The sequence below is a fragment of the Homo sapiens genome, chromosome 10 (genome assembly GCF_000001405.40).
Source record: "Homo sapiens chromosome 10, GRCh38.p14 Primary Assembly".
Taxonomy (NCBI): domain Eukaryota; kingdom Metazoa; phylum Chordata; class Mammalia; order Primates; family Hominidae; genus Homo; species Homo sapiens.
The window spans coordinates 34,202,225-34,222,127 of NC_000010.11; the positions used below are offsets into that span (position 1 = coordinate 34,202,225).

A 19,903-nucleotide genomic window follows, 5' to 3' on the forward strand; every position below is an offset into this window, starting at 1 on the left:
ATAATACCCGGCTAATTTTTAAATCTTTTATAAAGATGGGATCTCACTATGTTGCCCAGGCTGGTCTTGAACTCTTGGCTTCAAGCAATCCTCCAGCCTTGGCCTCCCAAAGTGCTGGGATTATAGGCATGAGGCACTGCATTTGGTGAAAATATTTTAAAGACTTCTGAACATATTCATTACGTATACTTTCAACTTTTTACAGATAAGAGGTGTGAAAGAGCCCACTGAGATTGAGAGCCACTCTTTGGAAGAGGAAAGCATCATTTCTAGTCCAAATGTCACACTGCATAAACGACACAGGCATGTTAACAGAGGTACAGAAAGCTAAGTGACTTCACCACATCACACAGATGATCAAGAACCAGGCAAGAGACTAAAACTTTGCTCAACATATCTGAGAACTCAATAAAACATTCTCTTCCTTTTACTCCCTGTTGATTTTGCAAAGGGTGGCATTTCTTATATGCATCAATATAGCCAAATTACATTCTAGAATCTACTCTTTATATGAGTTTATCTCCAATTTAATAACAGAAGGAAAAAGAAGGGTCTAAGTATGTGCTTAATATGTTGCTTTCCTGGCAATACTTGAGGCACAATACATGAATCTATTTCCCTTACTGTGACACACAAATGGCTCAGATTCAGAAAAAAATACAACAGTAAACCCTCTCAGTGACAATGGCTGTACTGAGCTGGCTGTGATTGAGAAGCAGCCACAATGTCTGGCATCCTGAGAGGCTAGAACTTCAATTCACTGAGGTCTGCACTTGAACACAACCAAATGGGCACAGTTACCTTTTGCTAACACCCCCACTCCAGCACCCTGGCCCCACTGCCAGCTGCAGCCCCATCCCCAGTTTCTCGCTCTGCCTGTGCCAAGAAAATATGATGGTTTAGTTTTGAAGGTCGTTTTATGGCACTTTGGAGTGTGGGTACACTGCAAGAGAGAGAGAGAGAGCTCTGTTTCTATTTGCCTCCGCCAATAAATAGAAAAGCAAAACACTTCAATCTATATGCCAAACCACTGAAGAATGAAGGCAAAATGGATTAATCACCCATAGCTCACACAGAGAAACTCTCATTCTAGACACAGATCAAATGAATGGCTGTTCTGAGGTTAGGAAAGCTCCCACTGACTCCCAGCCTTCTGCATTCATCTGCAAAGCTTCTGAAGCTTTCCAAATACAGTTGTCTCTTGGTATCTACGGGGAATCGGTTCCAGGACACCTTGTGGATACCAAAATCCACGGATGTGCAAGTCTATTATATAAACTGGTGTAATATTTGCATATAACCTACCCACATCCTCCTGTATACTTTAAATCATCTCTAGATTGCCTATGATACCTAATACAATGCAAATGCTATGTAAATAGTTGTTATACTGTGCTGTTTAGGGAATAACAAGGAAAAGAATATCTGAACATGTTCAGTGGAGATGCAATCATTCATTCATTTTTTCCCCGGGTATTTATGATCTGTGGTTGGTCAAATCCATCGATGCAGAACCCATGAATGCAGAGGGCCGACTGTATATTCAGAGACAAGTACCACCAGGAATCCACACACCTGAGTTCTATTGATCTGTCAATGCCTGGTTTTGCAACAGCAGAAGACACACTCAAGTAATAAAATAAGGGATAATGTGAAGACATTTTGTTCATGTGCAAGGGAAGTTTGGGAGATATCTAATGTCTTTCAAAGAAGGTTCTAAATGCCTCAAAGACGCCTCTCATGTTATGATTAAAACTCAGTGGCAGCTAGATTGTAGTTATAATTTTCATAAGTCAGAGTTCTATCACTTGATTAGAGGTTTCTGAATAGTAAATGTGTTGACTAAGCCTAGATCTCACTTAGCAAATGGAAGGTATGTAGAAAGGTAAGTACATCAACATTTACTGATAGTGTTGACAGTATTGATGTTAATGATAACGTATTCCCTTTTCAAAGAAAGTTGCAAGTACCGTGTGGAACCTCTATTAACCTCAATAGGAAAGGCACCAAGTTCAAGAGGCCAAAGGAGAGACCCAGAGCAAGCGAATGACACATGGGGTTTTATTAGTGGCTTACATAAAGGAAAGAGAGTCCAGTGGCAGTGGGCTGGACAAGATAACCACCTTACATATGGTCCAGTGGTGGCAGGCTGGAAAGCATAACCTCACGGCGCAGTGTTGGCAGGCTGGGTAGGAAAACCACAACCACTTGCAAACAGCATGCAGTTTATATACAGCGTTTTCACTTAACACCCTCCCCTTAACGACCTCCACCTTGCAACCTTCATTTAACCCAAAACTCAGGGCCCCAATCCTCCATACAGCTTGTGTTCAACAGAACAGGATGGGGGCTCAGATGTTCTTCACAGACAAGGAATGAATCTCTGGGTTGGCTACTCCTGGATGCCCTAACTTGGAACACATATTCAGATGCATCTGCCATACAGGATCATCCTAAGGGTGTGCTTACGTTACATTCCCCCCTACAATAAGAGGATCTGAATTCATTTTCAAATCATCTTTCTTGATGTAAACACAAGCCAGCATAAGATTTTGAATTCGTGGTATCTATATTATGGGCTCATAAGCAGAAATGTGTGACTTCATAAGTAGAACACTTGTTTATTTGGCAAACTTTGGATGTGCTTCTCTTATACCTAATTACAAGTCCATTAATTTTTATAATCATATTAAAGAACTCCAATAAAACTTTCAATGACTCCAGGGGAAGGTAGTTTTAGACAGTCAACCGTAATTAAGCCAAACGATTGTGCCTGCATCATTATAGCAACTATAGGGAGTAATTTGAGTCTGGGGATGATTATCATCAAAAAAGTTGGAAAACAACACACTGTAAACCTTTGCATCATAAGCACATTTCACCAACATCAGCCTCAGGGCTCTAGTGAAATCAGTTAGGTGTGTTATACACCTGCTGGAAAAAAAATCTTTGATTTTGTATTTCTCAACTAAGAGACATCTGATGCTGAGGTCACTGGGACTTTCAGGTGAGAATCAGCAGGAAATGAGATCTTTAACACCTGTTTGTTGAACTTGCCTAATCTGACTGTATTTAGCCTGTTATGCTGACATCTGAACTCAATTGATAAATATTCCTATCTGGCCTAAATTCTCTTAGCATGCTAGATAGGCCGGGTGAAATGAAAAATGTTTTCATGCGTTAGAAAACAAATTAATAAAGCATTCAAATCTATCTGCAGTGTTTTTAAAAAATTATTTTAAGAAAAACACTCCTCTGTTCACTTTATCAGTTTTCAGAAGTCAAATCCACAAACCTTAATCCTGTATGAGTGCGGTAAGGTGTCAGATGCAATGGCAAGCAGAGGGACTTGAATTTTGAAAGAAGAATGCCAGGCTCTAAGAAGAGGAAGTGGGCGGCCAGGGAGAGGGTGAAGCGATGTGTGTGGTGAAAGCCTGGGAGCTGGAGAGGAAGGGGATGGCGGCAGCAGAGGCTGGGCCTGAAGATGGGCAGGGACTCACCTCCTGCACTTCCTCCTGCCTCTTCACTTTCCTAGCTTCCTCTGGGGTCAAGAAAAAGCCACATATCTTAGGATTTTGACTTGTTCCTGCTGTGGCCATTGTAGTTGGCGGCAGGCAGACCACCACAGCGTATGCTCCGGATACAGTCCCCCCATCCCCTGGGGCTGCGCATCTGATGGCTGCTGCCACTAAACTACAGCACTTCATGGCTGAGGACCGATGCTGATGTTGGGAGGAGGGGCAGCACCTGTGGCTGTGTGGGGTCTTGCCTCCTGCCTCACTACTAGATCGAGGTCTTGTCCCATACAGCCAGAGAAAAGCAGATCCACATGGATCATTTAAAAAACCCTTTCACATGTATAAATCACAGCAGTCAAGCATAATTTGACCACCTCTTCACTTAAGTCCATGGAAGGGAGGAGAGGCACAGTGGGAGGTCCCAGTGCAGGTGTGGAAGGTGGCTGCTGGGCCAGGAGGAACAAGAACAGTGGCAGTCAGTGGCACAGGCTGCTTGCTGGTCCAGGGCTCTAGCGCCCCTAGCTATTCATTGCACATCTTCAGCATATTGGGGTATGAAACCAGACTACAGGTCTCAGATGTCATTCACTATGGTGACGGTTTCAGCAAATCCAGCACAGGTAGGAAATAGGAAATGGGCGGCGTTTGCCTGGAGTGAGCCCCTTTTATGGCCTTCCTTGGGCTACTAAGATTTGTCAGCTCCTATTGATGCAGGACAGGCAAGCCCCAAAACTGGGGCTTAGCCCGGGAAGGTTCTTGGCTTCACTCAGGAAAGAACTCCAGAGCCAGTCGGTGATAGAAGGAAACAGCTTTATTGAGGACGCAGTGTTGCATCTCCCTGACTGCTCCTGCAGAGCAGAGCTACTCCCTGGGCAGTGGGTGGAGAGAAGCAGCTCGGAGCAGTTCTGCAGTCATGTTTATATCCACTTTTAACTACATGCAAATTAAGAGATGGGTTATTTACAAATTTCTAGAAAAAGGGTGGTAACTTCCAGGTTGCTGCCATGGAAAGCAGTGGAAACTTCCAGGTGTTGCCATAGCAATGGTAAACCAACATGGCACTGGTAGGTGTGTCTTATGGAGAGGTGCTCTCACCTCTTCTGTTTCAACCAGTCTTCAGTCTGGTCTGGAGTAAAGTCTCACCTCCTACCTCACTACTAGATCGAGGTCTTGTCCCATACAGCCAGAGAAAAGCAGTATCACCTATAATTTCACAGGATCAATCCTGGACTCTAGATTACACAGCTTCATCAACTGACAAGCACCTAGCTGTCACTGTGTGCCCAGCTTTAAGCCACCATCTGCCATGGTGTGTGCTGGCACACAGGTATGCTCACCTGTGTGTTTGGTTGGGATGGGTGAGGCCTCTCTGCTTACAATTTAACTAGGAAAACAAGACTTATCAAGCCTACATCAGCAATTCACGCCTCAAATACTTCCTCCTTTATCTCACACAGGGGCTCATGATGAGTTAAAATTCAGTATTCTGATTAGCTCCCATTCAAATGGTTGGTTGTTTTGTCACTCTTGGGTGGGGACAAAAAGGTAACCAAATATATTTTAAAAATAAGCACAGCAGCAAGTGTTTTCAATAAGCAACCCTCACCCTAACTGCTGAGAGATGGAGCTGATTTCCTACATCTCTCAGCATTAAAGTAATTGAATGCAAACGAGTCAGGACACAGAAAAAGTGAAACCCCAGCCGTGGGGTTCTGGCAAAAGCATTTCCAATGGTGGGAGTAGAACAACTGTCCCTGGTCCTCAGATGGAGTGTCAGAGGTCACTGCAGGCTGGGACACCATGGATCAAGTTTCACTCACTTCAGGACAAAGCAAGTTACACAAATAAGGCACAGAATCATTTAAGGGTTAAATGTGTACTCTACCTTTTCTTTTACCAAGATGATATTTTCACCCTTTTTACAAATCCCCAAAACCGCCCACTAATGAAGAGACACAGTAAACTTTATGGACATTCCAACTGATATTTACCAAGAGTTTCGTTTTAAATCTCTTAATCCCTATGTTAAATAGGAAAACCCAGCATGAATCTAGTTTTTAAGGTGACACAATTTTCTTTAGAATGAACAACATCGAGGCTTTGTTAGAAAACCCAGAATGACTGATTTTAAGAAGAATGCCTCCGGTCCTTTGTCAGAAAATAGACATTTTTCTGTCAAAAGAGGCTGTTATCTAACTTTCTGTAAAAGAGAAAAAAGTAATGAGCTCTCTCTGGATAATATATGCCTGAACTTCTCATGCAAAGAACACACCTTTTTATTTCTCAAAGCTTGAATACTGTCTGTGGTGTAAAACAATTTTAAGTGCCTTTGCTAATTAATAGGCTGCTTTAGCTACACATCAGCAGAATTGCATTTTTTAGAGACATAACCATGAACACATGATTTACTTTTTTTCTTACATGTCTTCTAAAAAATAAAAGTCTCTGTCGTGGACACAAGTCAAATCAGGTTGTCATGAACTACTCTGCAAAGTGTAAATAATAACATTCATTAAAGAAGAAGTATTTCAGCGAAGAAAAGTAATTGGCAATAAGGATGGTGCCTAAGTGAAGACTGTCTGCAGGTGGCCTGAATGGGGGCAGCAGAACCAAATTATAGAGGCTTTGCATAACTAGTTATCCAATTGTTCTATAAGAGAACAGCACTATTAGTGACTTCTCATCTAATGTTGCTAACATGTCTCTTCAATCTTATGAATCCTTGCCAGGACCACCAGGGGAATGCCAGCCTTTCAGTACGTTTTTAACAAGGCTGTTTACTAATAGATCACACCTCATGGCACAGGCATCTATAGTTGATTTCTTGTGAAATCATTTTGCAGAGGGTTAAGGACGCAGAGAAGAGAGGTAGGCAAAGATGGCTACAGAAATGTGTTAAGCGTGACCCAACGGTCCCCTAGAACTGCTCATGCAGGGTGAGCGTTCAGGAAACAGGAGCTGTACCACCCAGCTATCAGTCTTTGTGAACCTCAAGGAGCCGAGGGCCATCAGATTCCTAGGCAGCCAGGTAGCTATCAGCATGGTGTGGGGCAAGCATTCTGAGTTCCTTTCAGACATTTAACAATCGAGGGTTTTGATGTCATTGAAAAAATTAAAAAGGGAGCCCACAGTTCTTCAATGACTATTAAATGTTTGAAACCTCTATAAATAAACAGACATGTTAGAATTACTCCAAGAATTTAAATACCTCAAGTTCTTTAAGCTTTCAGAAATATACTTGTCTAATAGATACATTATGGTGAAAAGAGTATTTGAGAATGACCATTTTCATGCAAACTAAAATTCCACATATAATATTCTGACTAGGAATAAAAAATGTAAGACAAAGTAAACTTTAACTAGAGGGAAAAAGATGACTTCAGATTTTCTTTCTACTTGGGTGACCTAGAATCCCTTCTTCCTTTAATTCTATTTCTTGGGTCAAGAGATGAACAGCACTTTCACTGAAAAATGCACTGGTTGTTTGAATGAGAAACAAACTTCATTTCACAGGAAATTTCTCATCAAAAATCTAGCAGAATATGTAGTTGGAGGTTGATTTGGTTATCAGGAGCAGGAGCCCCAAGGATTCTTTTAATGTCATGCTATTAAATATTCTCGACATGAACAAGGCAGAGCTGATGTGGAGATGTCATCAGGGGCAGTAACGGAGTTTGAGCGAGGAAGAGAATTGCTTCAAGAAGCCAAGTATAGTTGATTCTGTCTTCTGTGAGATAAATGATATTAAAATTAATGTTAGATATTAGTGTGTTGTGGGGGGCAGTCAAAAATTAACACCTTTTATAAATGGAGAAAAATATTCCTCAATTCAGTTTTCCTAACCAAGAGCAAAGAAACGGGTCAGAGAGACATAGGTTCAAATCTTGGTTCCCACCAATTACTAGCTATGGGGTCTTGGCTGAGTCACTTCTCCAAGTTTCTACATATTCTGTGTACTGTAATGTGGTTTTTTAAAAAAGTGCTTACCTCACAGGGATGCTACAGAAACCAAATGAGAAAATGCATGCAAATTCTTGGGAGAGAAAGCATTTAGTAAATGTTAGCTATTATTAGTTATCATTAACATTATTATTTTTATCACAAAGTTGTTATAATGATAAAACTGTATCAGGTAAGATATTTATGGATAGAAATCCAAAATAAGTCACCACTTTAATATTTATATGTAAAGTTAATCCTCAGTTACCAAAAATCTTACCTAGTGGAGATGAGACTCATTGAATTTCTAATATATTTTATATGCTGTAAATTTATAAAATTAGCCATACATTGCAAGGCTAGGAAGTTTTAGAATTCATAACAAAATGTGAACATGTGAGTGATACTGTGTCTTTATGAAATGTGCTCAATGCGAGGCCAGGACTAAGAACTTCCCAACATATAACATATAAACACCTATCTTCTCTGTTATCATAATCAATGCAAAAACAGGTCATGTGTGCACTCACACATGTATTGTACATGTATGTATGTGTGTGTGTAGTGCAGGTGGTGGAGAGAAGAGGAATTGGAAGAGTATGAGGAATATTTGAGTTTTCTTTTATTCAGTAAGCTTGTGGTTTAATTCTTCCATGACATGTTAACATAAATCAGAACCACTCTTTCACTAGTGAATTGCCCCACATACTTTGCGTGTGGATGTTGGTTGAGACATTTGGTGGGCAGAGTGGCGATGGGGAGTATTTCTTTTAGACACCACCTTCTGCACTGGAGCCTGCTGGCCTGTGGAGTATACGTAACAGCTCAAGGTGTTATGACCTTTCTACTTACAAGGAGAAGAGATACATCCGGCGGTACAAAGTGGAAATAATTGATCATTCTCTCCTGATTGACATAGTAGATATTAATGATCAAAAACTTGATACCTGGGAAGGTGCTCAGACTATTCAACAAGAGTGACTCTAACTCTGTGGTCTCCTAGAGGAAGTTCACCACATCACTATCATCACAGCCACAGCCTGGACTTGGTTCTCAGGAAATAGGGTGTCTGGGATGATTTCAACCATGTAATTTCTAGGAAAACTAGAATTCAGTGCACAATGGTCATTTAGGAATACAGACAATTGCTTCCTGACTTGACTTTTCAACACAGTGTGGTGGTAAGGGGTTGGCTGCACACTCTCCTATGACCCTGTGCCCCCAATATTAAAGGAACGTACTGTTTTTCACCTGTTCAGGTGACACCTACCAATCATAAGGGAGGACAGGTGACATGTTTATGGGCTTAGGAGGAGTGAGGAACTGTGTCAAGGTCTTTGCATGTGTTATCTCATTAACACGGATTAACAGAATCTACTTCACCGGGTTGACGTGAGAATTGAGAACAGATACACAGCTCTTCAGCCTGTGACAGGCTCATGAAACGCACCGATAAACATTCGCTCTCTTCCCTGGACCCTTCATTCTTGCATTTCTGTGAGGGCAGAGCAATCACCTCCAACCAAGAGATGTGGAGATGTGTCTAGGGTCGTAAAGATTAGAAGGGGGCTGCATAAGGATTTGGGCCCAGTTCTGGCCCGTGTGACCCCAAGCCCTGGTAGGCCCTTGCCTCTGCCAAGTCACCTCCTACAAAGTGTGTGTTTCCTCTTTCAGATCACAGTTAGGCCAGCGGGAAGGGAGTGAGGATACACTTACAAATGCTCAGAACTGAGTGGGGCATACGCAGAGAGAAGGCAGAAGAAAAAGGGAAAGCAGAAACGACAGAGGAAGGGAGCAAAGTTCTAGTTAGAAAATGGAGGCCGGGAGTGATGTTTCACGCCTGTCATCCCAGAACTTTGGGAGGCCGAGGCAGACGGATCACTTGAGATCAGGAGTTCGAGACTAGCCTGGCCAACATGGTGAAACCTCGTCTTCTAAAAATACAAAAATTAGCTGAGCATGGTGGTGGGCGCCTGTAATCCCAGCTACTGGGGAGCGTGAGGCAGGAGAATTGCTTGAACCCTGGAGGCGGAGATTGCAGTGAGCCGAGATCGAGCCACTGCACTCCAGCCTGGGTGACAGAGCAAGACTCCATCTCAAAAAAAGAAAAAAAAAGAAAGAAAAAGAAAAAGGAGTAGAGATGCCTGTTCCTCTCCCCAGGAGTCTCACTGTCTGTGAGCATATCAGTATCTCCACCTTCCCAGGGTTATCCCAAAGATCTTCCCAAGGCTCTTTCTGGTATTTGGGGACACTACACTTCCTTCTTTCCATCAAGAGAAAAGGCCACTTTTTGGTATATCACGTAAGATGTTACTTCTTTGGAATCTCAGAGTGCTCAACTTTTTTTTTTTTTTTTTGCTCCCATATATTTCTGCTCTATTTTGCTTCCATGTGTATTTCTGCCCTCTCCTCCCATTCTTGCATCTACTAACTTAAGTATGCTCAAATCGCTATTATCCTAATTTAACTGATGATGCTATCAGGTGATCCATGCTGGGGAAATCAACACTTACCATCATGACTCCTCCCCCATCCCCGTGACTTTATTCCCCTGTGTTCCCACAACTTCTCCAGTAGAGATTTCTGAAACATCTCTAATAAAATCATGTCAGAACTTGAAGCCCTGTTATCTAGGTCATTCTTCTGGATCTGGTGGTTGTCAACACCTCTCTAAGCAGGCTTCAGTTTTTCTCATCTTTCTAGCCCGACCCCTGACAGCAATGTCTGCTAGCTCAAATTGGTATTGTTATTTTGTATTCTGCTCTTTTCCCACAGCTTTGTTTCCATCATTCAAAAGTCTGAATACTCTGCTAGGCTATGAGGGCACAGATATATTCAGAAAAGGGTCTCACTTAGGGAAATAACTCCCAATGTGTCACCATAAAATGTTAAAAATACAAGGCAGACAAGACCAGGACTGTACCTGGTGCGCCCTACAGCCCCTCGTGGAGTAGGGAACAATGGGAAGGTCAGTTGGGGCAGGGGGGGTTCTGAGGGGGGCAAAGGCCGCAGAGGTGGATGGAGTTCTGTGGAGCAGCTTGAAAAGCCATTAATAAATCAGGAGTTCAACCTGGTCAGAAAACCCTTACATTGAGGATGAACTGGAAAAAAAGAAACTCATGATTAAAAACCAGTTCAGAGGCCTTGCAAACATCCAGGAGAGTCTAACTTATCTTCACCAACACTGCCACCAAACCTCAGGCTCAGAGGCATCATCAGAACATTCTTCTCGAAGCCCCTTCATCTTTCTTCATCTATTTCACTCTTAAAATCAGCTTCAGTCACCCTAAAAATTCACTGGCTTCTCTTTGCTCTCCACACTATCTTAGGCCTTTCCAAAGCTTGCCCAAGTGTTTTATCACATTATCTTACTCTGTTTTGTGTTACTATCACAGAATACCTAAGACCATGTAATTTACAAAGAAAAGAGTTTTACTTGGCCCACAATTCTGGTGGCTAGAAGGTTCAAGATTGGGCAGCTGCATCTGGCAAGGGTCTCAGCCTGCTTCAACTCATGGCAGAAAGTGAAAGGGGGGTGGGTGTGTGCAAAGAGACCACATGGCAAGAGAGAAAGCAAGAAAGAGAAACTGAGGAAGCCGGACTCCTTTAACAATCTGCTTTGCTGGGAACTAATCCACTCCCACCAGAGCAAGAACTCACCCCTATGGGAGGGCATTAATCTATTCATGAGGATCTGCCTCAGTGACCCAAGCACGCCCACCATGCCCCACCTCCCAACACCACCACATTGGGGGTCAAACGTCAATATGAGTTTTGGTGGGGATGAACTATGTCCTAACCACAGCGCAGATGAAGCCAACCTTTATTTCATTCTCACTTCTTACATTCCACTCAGGCCTGGAAAGCCTATTGGTCTAACTTGACTCAGTTAATGATTACATAAATGTTTACAGACAATTATAAGGGTTTGGTTTCCTATTTGGTTATGTGGGAGGTGTAAAGATAAAAGAGAGAGGCCTTCAAAGGGCTCTCAATCCTATAGCAGAGATAAGATGGCTACATGATACCAGGGATAAAGGCAAGGTAAAACCACTGCCTGGCAGCAGAGGACAGGAGGTGACGTGGGCAGTGCTGCTCCACGATTCATGAATGTTTCATGTGATAATGACAAACGATTGACTTTTTTCTGTTATACATTTTTCAACTTATTTTGATTTTTTGCAGGGTATCTTTTTATATTAATTCTTTTTTTTGTTTCGTTTTTAGAGACAGGGTCTTGCTCTGTTGCCCAGGCTAGAGTGCAGTTGCAGTGGTGTGATCATAGCTCACTGTAGCCTTGAACTTCTGGGCTCAGGCAATCCTCCCACCTCAGCCTCCTGAGTAGCTGGAATGACAGGTGTGCACCACCATGCCCAGCTAATTAAAAAAATATATTTTTTGTAGAGACGGGGTTTTGCTATGTTGCCAAGACTGGTCTTGAACTCCTAGCTTCGAGTGATACTCCTGCCTCAGGCTCCCAAGCACTGGGATTACAGGTGTGAGCCATCGTGCTGGCCTTATATTAATTCTCATGTGTGGATGCTTTTGATTAAGTAGAGTACCTAAATTTATAGCTCTTCAGGGTTCACAAATTGGAGGCAGTGGGTGTTGCGATTTCAGAAAGTCCTAATAATGTTATTGCCATTATTAGTCTGGCTATACATGTGATTCTTATCAAAAAATTTAATAATTCTTCCTTGCACATCATCAATGACAAGCTAAACTGACCACAAAGGCCCTTATGGTTTTGAGCAACATAAGCAACGTGGGGTGGTGATGCCCGTTTCTGGGCACATGGGAGAGAAAAGCAGCCTCCCTTTGGCTCTTCCTTGCAGACACCACAACCAATATATAAATGAAAAGAAGTGGCTGATGCCTCTAATTCCACCACTTCGGGAGCTCAGGCAAGAGGACTGCTTGAGGCCAAAAGTTTAAGACCAGCCTGGGCAATGTAGCAAGACTCTGTCTCTGCAAAAAATAAAAAAAAATATATTATTTTAAAGTGTGGTTGTTTACATCGGGTTCATCATTGTATAACGGATATCTGAAAGCATCATACAGAGAGGACCCTCTTTTTCAGGAGAAGCATAACATCAGAAGTGACATTTTGAAGATAATTAAAAATTTACAAAGTCAAGACATTTCAGTAAAGAAAGACTATGAGAGGAATTCTCAGTACTTCGAAGAGTCTAGGCCCCTTGAAAAAAAATCTAAAATGATCAGGCCTGGTTTCTTTTAAGGGTGAGACGCAGTCAGGAATGTAACATGCTAGTTTTGTTAAGGGTTGTCAGATCAACAGTAATTGCAGTGGCCCATTTTGCTTATTAGAGCCCTCTCACCTATTGGCATTCCGGGCATCTTGCATCAATCCTGCAATAAAACCAATTAAAATTGCATTAAAAGATAAAACCTGAAACTTTGCCAATAAACGCTAAATACACTTTAAATACACTCATTTTGCCTCATTCTTGGAAGGTATAAAATGGAAAAGAATGGTGTGAATGTTGCAAAGGCTTATTGAGGACAGTACCAATCTCAGGAGGTCAGCCCGGAAAATACAATTAAGTTAGTAAACTGTGCCCAGACTTGTCAAATTTCCAGGTCTGGTTTCCATCAGTACTGTATTTGAGGGATTTCCTAAGTTTTATGTGAAACTCTGTTTCTACCTGTAATAAAGTAAGGGAGATATTTCTGAGATAAATATGTATTGAAAAATACATAAAATGTCATGATAGGCAAGCTGAAATGTCACTTTCAAAACTCTATCCTTTAATCCAATTCATAGCACATATGTTTCACAAGAAAGCGTGGAATTTGCTCTGTGAACATCTTTTACAGAAATAAGAAGTTACATTTTAAGCATGAAACTTAAGGACAACTTGCATGAACAGAGCTGACCCATCAAGAATTTTGAAGAGTTCCAACTCCATGGATTATAAAAATGTCTTCTAGTTACACTCTTCAGAAGTACATAAACATAGGCTTAACTTCTATCCTTCTATAACGTTTGTAGGACTGCAAGAGGTAAGAATCTTCTAAGGAAAGCCATATTTCCTTTAATCAAAAAAGATAGCGAATTATATTCGCAGTTAAATGAGTGCTTAGCAAAGAAGTGTGTGTGTCACACGCTGGCACAGGTGGATGGAGGAGGGTGTATTTAAAAATAATACTTAAAATACTGTTAGCATCCAAAAATTCAAAATAATTGTCATCGGGTGGTGACATTTGTGGTTTGCATTTGCTTTTCTGTATTGTATACACTTTTTGCATTAAATATGTAGTTGTTAGTATTTAGAAAAATAATTGCTCTATGAAAACAAATAAATGGGTATTAGAAATACAAAGAGAGTAGCTGACTGAATCTACTTGATTGGTCCCAGAGAAAAGAAAATACCCAAGTCAGATGGTCGACACTTATTTCTTACATCAACTGCATTCCCTCATTTGGGCACAGCTGATGGTCTAAGATGGCGCCACAACATTCTTGATGTCCTGCTACCCAGCTCAATATTTGTATGCAAATATTTAGGAAACATGCACAAAATTGAGCAAGTGGGATATACCACTTTAACAATAAGCATTCATAATGCTATTTGTACGACTACCTGCAGAGAACAACACTGGATGATCTCTTTGGAAATTTTATAAATGGAACACTGTCAAATTTGTAAGCAACATTTTAGACAGCAAATATGTTGCTTGGATTTTAGCCGTCTTAAACACTGCAAGCGGCTTAACCTTATCTCCTAGTGCCACTGCCTTCCTGGAGTAATTGATGCTTGGAGTCCCCAATTTCACATAAACCAGGACACTGTGTTATTGTATACAGCAATCTGACTGCTGGCAGAGACAGGAAACTGCACTGAACCCAGATCAATAGACATGTCAACAGTAAGCTGCTTAATCTAATTCAGCCTATCTCATCTCAGGGCACAGAGTTTGCAATTTTGCTGTTGGGTCCCTCTGGCAGGAAATGGTTTGGAAAGTTTAGTCTTAAGAAGTTTAAGTGATATGCTTATCCTTCAGGCTCTTGAATGTTTATTCAGCAGAATAGCTGCTTTAAATGTTTTATAAATGGCAGTAATGTAAACAAGGCATGTCTGACTTCCCTCACATGTGAAAACTATAATGGTGATTTCCTTGACTATGGACATAAAGATTAACACTACAGCCAATTACACTTTAGAGGAAACTGCTTGGGTCCACATTTTTAGCAAATGCCATCTTTAAACTCTGTCCCCATCCCCATCCTCATTGAATGACATTCTTCTCAGAAAAAGAAATGCTTTGATTTATATAAATATTTGTCTCTTTAACTATATTAGACAAATGACTTCTGTGGTTATGAAACCTCAAACGCTTATCCATCAGAGCATCATTCTTCTTCCTTGGAATAGTGTGATAGTGTGGGTGATAGGAAATCGTGGGTTGGTATGGAAGACACAGTGTGAAATCCAGTAACTCTGGCCTGCCTTAGACATCAACATCTCGGTGGGAGGATGTCCACCTCACTGCTTCCCTGTCCCTGGGTGCTCTCACTTGCTTGTTCTTGCGCTGTCTCTGTCTCTCTCCAGGAAGGGAGAACTAGATCGTACACGTCATCACTTGGAAGATAGAGTGTTAAATATCTGATACTGCTCACAGCTTTGGTGCAACTTGTCCTTGAATTATCAAAAAAGGAAGGGTACATATCATTTTCTACCCTTGTAAAAACACTCCCTTTGTACAAGTCTCAATACTTGTATGTATAAGGATAAGCTTTTGGAAAGGCTAATTCATTATTACTGTCATCCTTAAAATGCCCGTTACAGAGGTGTAACAGGTGGTGCGATCCCACTTCATGGATAAGGAAATGGGGGGCCGGTGTGTCAAGTGCCACACCTTGGAGCAGACAGCAGACTACAGGGATAGACGGGCATGGAACCATGCTCGTGGCGTGCACTGAGACAAAGCAGTGCATGAGGAGAAGCTTTGTAATCATGAAGTACAGAGGCAGTCATGCATGACTGTGGCCTAAGGGTGAGATGCTTTTGGATTTTGAATCGTGGGATATTTATTCAGTTCATATTTACTGAATTCCTATTGCAGGTCAGGCTTTGTTCTAGGTACTAGGAACACAATGTTGAACAAGACAGGCAGGATTCCTCCCTCTGCGACTCTAAAGAGGGAGGTAGACACCAAAAGGTACATAAATAAGTAATGTAGTTTCAGATATTGACGGATACCTTAAAAAATATAATGAAGTCATGAAGAGTGACAGTGGGAACTGGACACATTGGGGGGCAGGAGCTGTCCTCTGAAGACATGACATCTGGGCTCATGTTTGTGACCGATGCCAGAATACTACCTCCCTTCCACAGGCACCTCCTGCACGCCCCTACGTCCCTGAAACATCACTCATCACTCACAAAGGAGATTCAAGACAAGGAAGGAACACCATGCACACCTGACTGTTGGTCTTTTAACCTTCAGATGCTTGTAGTTTCCAAATTATGCTCTGAATCTCAGGACTTCTCAACCCATTAGACTCTATTCTGGAAAATTCTATGGAAGGCACATGACATCTTTTCATTCTTAGTATAGGAGTTGGAGGAGTTGGCACACAGGACCACACTTGGTGCTCTGTCATTGTTTGCTGAATGAATAAATTAATAAATAGGACCAGAAAAATCTCATAATCAACTTCTGTTAACTAACCACCATGAAAAAACAAGCTACAGATGATCACCCTGAAGATGTGAGTCAAGAGAGTATCTCTAAGCCCCATTTAAAGCAGACTAGCTTCTAACCACTCCGTCCCCACCCAACCCTCCACAAACCTACTCAATTCTGAGATGTGCCCAAGTAACAGACGGACTACTTAGCAAATCACTGGTAAAACTGGGAAGGGCGGGAAATACTTTGCCATTTGGGGCACTTCTCCAAGAGAAAAACAAATTTTTTTTTGAAGTTTTCAAATTTATTTTAAAGAAGGTCGTGACAGCAATGAAGAAGTTGGAAGAGGAAGAAAAAAAGAAGAATCAGCCATGAGTGGAAAGATGGATTGGAGAGGTCATGGAGGACAGGAGATGAGGAGGGCATGGGAAATGGGGGATGGGACATGGCATGGGGGAGGAGGGATGTCGTGTGGGGTGGGGGATGCAAAACCAGAAAGAGGAAGAAAAAGGGTGAAAACCTAACTGTTCTATAATCAGTGGCACCTGAAAATAATAGCCCATCAAGATTCCTATTTTAAGATCAGATCCGCATTCCAAGTCCATCAACCAAAACCGAATAAATAGTTCAAATCATCACAGGATTTCAGGATGGGCCAAAAGTAGCCATAGTATTTAAAGGCCTAGAGCAGGAAGAAGAACTCACTTCAAATGTTCACGCTAAAAAGTCAAAATCCTTTAAAGGTATAGGAATTATTAGTTCACTTTTTCAGCTGGGCCTGCCCACTTTATGTCAAAATCAAAATGAAAAAATCTAGTAACCCATTTTCTGGAGTTCTCAATAATCTCAGCCTCCCTCTTTTTTCAAGGGCAATCATAGAAGGCGGTCTTAGGAGGCTGATATCCCAACTGTGGCAGAGGGGCCTGGCAGTAGGAAATGTTGCAGAGAATGCCTGAAACACTGAGAAACAAAATACTGACAAACTCCATTAGCAGAAAGAAAATAACTCCAGGAAAAAAAATGGTTCCATTTATTATGGTACATATTTTTTAATTAAAGATGAGGAAGAAACCCCACAAAAGATGCCATTAGCTCTTCCACTTTAGCGGGGGTATGCACCCCCCTCTTAATTATGAAACAAAGCACACCTTCATGCACCTGGTGATTTTCTATGCAATGGCGTAGTAGAATGTTCAACAGGGATTGTTTTAATAGGGCTGGTAATGAGATCTGGGTGAAAAATCTCTCTGTTAATTTAGCAGGCCTCCTGAGATGTAAAATTTCTAGTTTGCAGGTGTTTCGAAGTTCCTTGCCGAGCCTAACCTCAGCCTGCCCCCTGGTTTTGATGTTAGGATTTAAATATCACCTGTAAATCTCTTAGTCATTTTGTCCCCATCAAAAATCACTTCTAGTCTCTTCTTGCCTCTCCACTAGTGTGAGTCTATTTTGATTTGCCTGGTACTAACTAAAATGCTACTAAATTTGGCACTGTACTAATCTATAAATTTTGAAAGCAAGACTCTACAGAGTTTAAACCCTAAGATCTTTCCAATCAAAGGCTAGGCGACCTCAAATGGCCAGGATGGAATGGAGCAGCTGCTGTCATTTCATGACCTTTTTGTTTTACGAACGCATCAGTCCCTGTAAGCCTACTTAGATAAATGACTTGCAAATTAAAAGAAACATTTTTATGATTCACTGCAGTAGCTTGCTTTTTGGGATACAAGGTTAAAAGTGAACAGTAAACCTTTTAAGGTTATTGAAACTGAATTATTAACGCTGGGTTTCACCTTCCTTTTGTCCTCTTTATGGCATTCTTCCTAATTACTCACTGCAACTCCACTCCTACAAGTTGTAAATCAAATGAAAAAATCTTTAAAGCACAGAAACACCTGATTAAAATATTCAACCACAAGGGAACCACAGAGACGATAGGGAGTGACATCCCGCGTTTTTAAAAAATATGAAGCTTCTGATAGCTTTTGAAAAAGTATGTTGTGAAAATTGCACTTTCATCTCCGGAAGTAACCAAAAGAACAGTCCCATGTTTGAAATCCATTTGTAACCTTCAAAATAATGAGCACTTTTCTCTACTTGGATCGCACCTGGTGCCTCACACCCCAGAGTGCATTTTACCTGTGCGATTTTGTGCTCAAACAAGAGCTGTTTCAAAGAGGGCTGGTGACTCTTGGCAGAGAGTGAAGTTTTCCTTCAGCCCTCTGAATAGGGGGTGATTGACAAAGCTCTGAAACCACAATACAGGCACCCGAAATGCAATGGAGGAATGCCTAATTCTGCCTTACCTACTTGGGGCCTCCATTTCCTAAGCTGTGAAATGGGGGTGATGGCACCTTCTGCTTAGGTCCTAGTTGGGAAGATTATGTGCACTTCTCAGCACATAGTTGGTTCAATAACATATTCACAGTGGGGACTAATGTGCTACATATTTCATAAAGGTATGGTTCTATGATTCCCCAAACAGTTTGAATTAGTTAAATGGATTCTGACTAATAAAGCCTACCCAATCCCACCTCTTGGTACCCACGCATTACATCTGGGATAGCAGCGGGAGAGCTATTGAATGTGAGGAAAGGGCTAGGAATGGGAGCAGGGCCACCTTTGGGAGACGGACTGGCCACTTCAAATGGCCTGATTTAAGGGGCTCCCAAAAGCAGTGCCATCCCCAATATCTTCCCTTCCTGCAGGGCTGGGTGAAACATCTGCTATGAGCAGGACCTCCTCCGTGGGTGTGCAACCCTGACAGGCACACAGAACCCAAGCATGGAGGGGCTCTGCTGTTCCCGTCTTGCCACTCTCACTATTTTATCTTTGATAAGTGAAGTCTGATGGGTTAAAGGCGCACGTGCATGGTGCATGGGAGAGGCCATCCGGTGATGTGCATGTCCACCGCTTTCCTTGTAGCCCCATTTGTATGGCCACCCTTGACACCCTATGAGCGCAAGCTTCCCATGGACCAGGGAAGCCTGGGAGTTCCGCAGAGGTGCTGAGAGCCTCAGGAGGCCACTCTTTTCCATTCAAACCAGGACTTGCCTTTTTTTTTTTTTTTTTTGATAAGTAAAAATTGTAGCTATTTATGGTGTACAATACGATGTTTTGATATATGTATAGGTGGTGGAATGGCTAAATCAATTAGCATATGCATGACCTCACGTACTTATTTTTTTGTGGTGAGAATACTTAAAATCTACTCTCTTAGCAATCAGAACTTGCTCTTAATGCAGAAAGAAGGCAATGGCATTCTATAAAACACGAATGACCAGGGAGCCCTATCCGTTCCTTTCTTAACAAGTGTGTTATATCTCTGTTAGTCAACCACTTACACCAAAGATGACATAGAAAGAAAAAGATCAGGCAACCTGTAGTACCCTTCCTTTTAGTCCTTCCTTACTCATCAGTAAGCCAAAAGTCAAGGGTGTGGGGACAATGTCCATGTGTAAAGAAATGAGATACAAACCGCTGAGTTAGTTTTGTGTTGTGTTTCACCATTCTATTGACAATGCAATACACATGCATGTATAAGCTATGAAATACGAGTTATGTCATTTCAGTGATTCTACATACCAGCTAAAGGCTCTTACATTTGCTTTAAAACTGACGTTCATCACAACAGTGTGAATACACTTAATGTTACTGAACTGTACCCTTAAAAATGGTTAAGATGGTAAATTTTATTAAAAACCTCTAGCATTGCACTATATAAAGATGAAAGGTAAAATTCATGCTAATGATTTAAAAGTTTATTTTATTTTTCTTAGAGTAACATTCAATAG

The 19,903-nt window shown here is 41.6% G+C and overlaps 1 protein-coding gene across 8 annotated transcripts in view, besides 1 other annotated feature; it reads right to left on the minus strand.

Annotated features, from left to right (window-relative positions):
- Nucleotides 1–19,903, minus strand: part of PARD3 (par-3 family cell polarity regulator) — a 705,736-nt gene that overhangs the window by 92,664 nt on the left and 593,169 nt on the right. The gene's annotated exons all lie outside the window — the stretch shown is intronic.
- Nucleotides 14,077–14,371: a silencer, noted in NCBI's record as "tiled region #2386; K562 Repressive non-DNase unmatched - State 24:Quies". NCBI's record gives its function as "represses a minimal TATA promoter and a strong SV40 promoter by Sharpr-MPRA in K562 cells {active_cell/tissue: K562}" and the evidence as "EXISTENCE:reporter gene assay evidence [ECO:0000049][PMID:27701403]".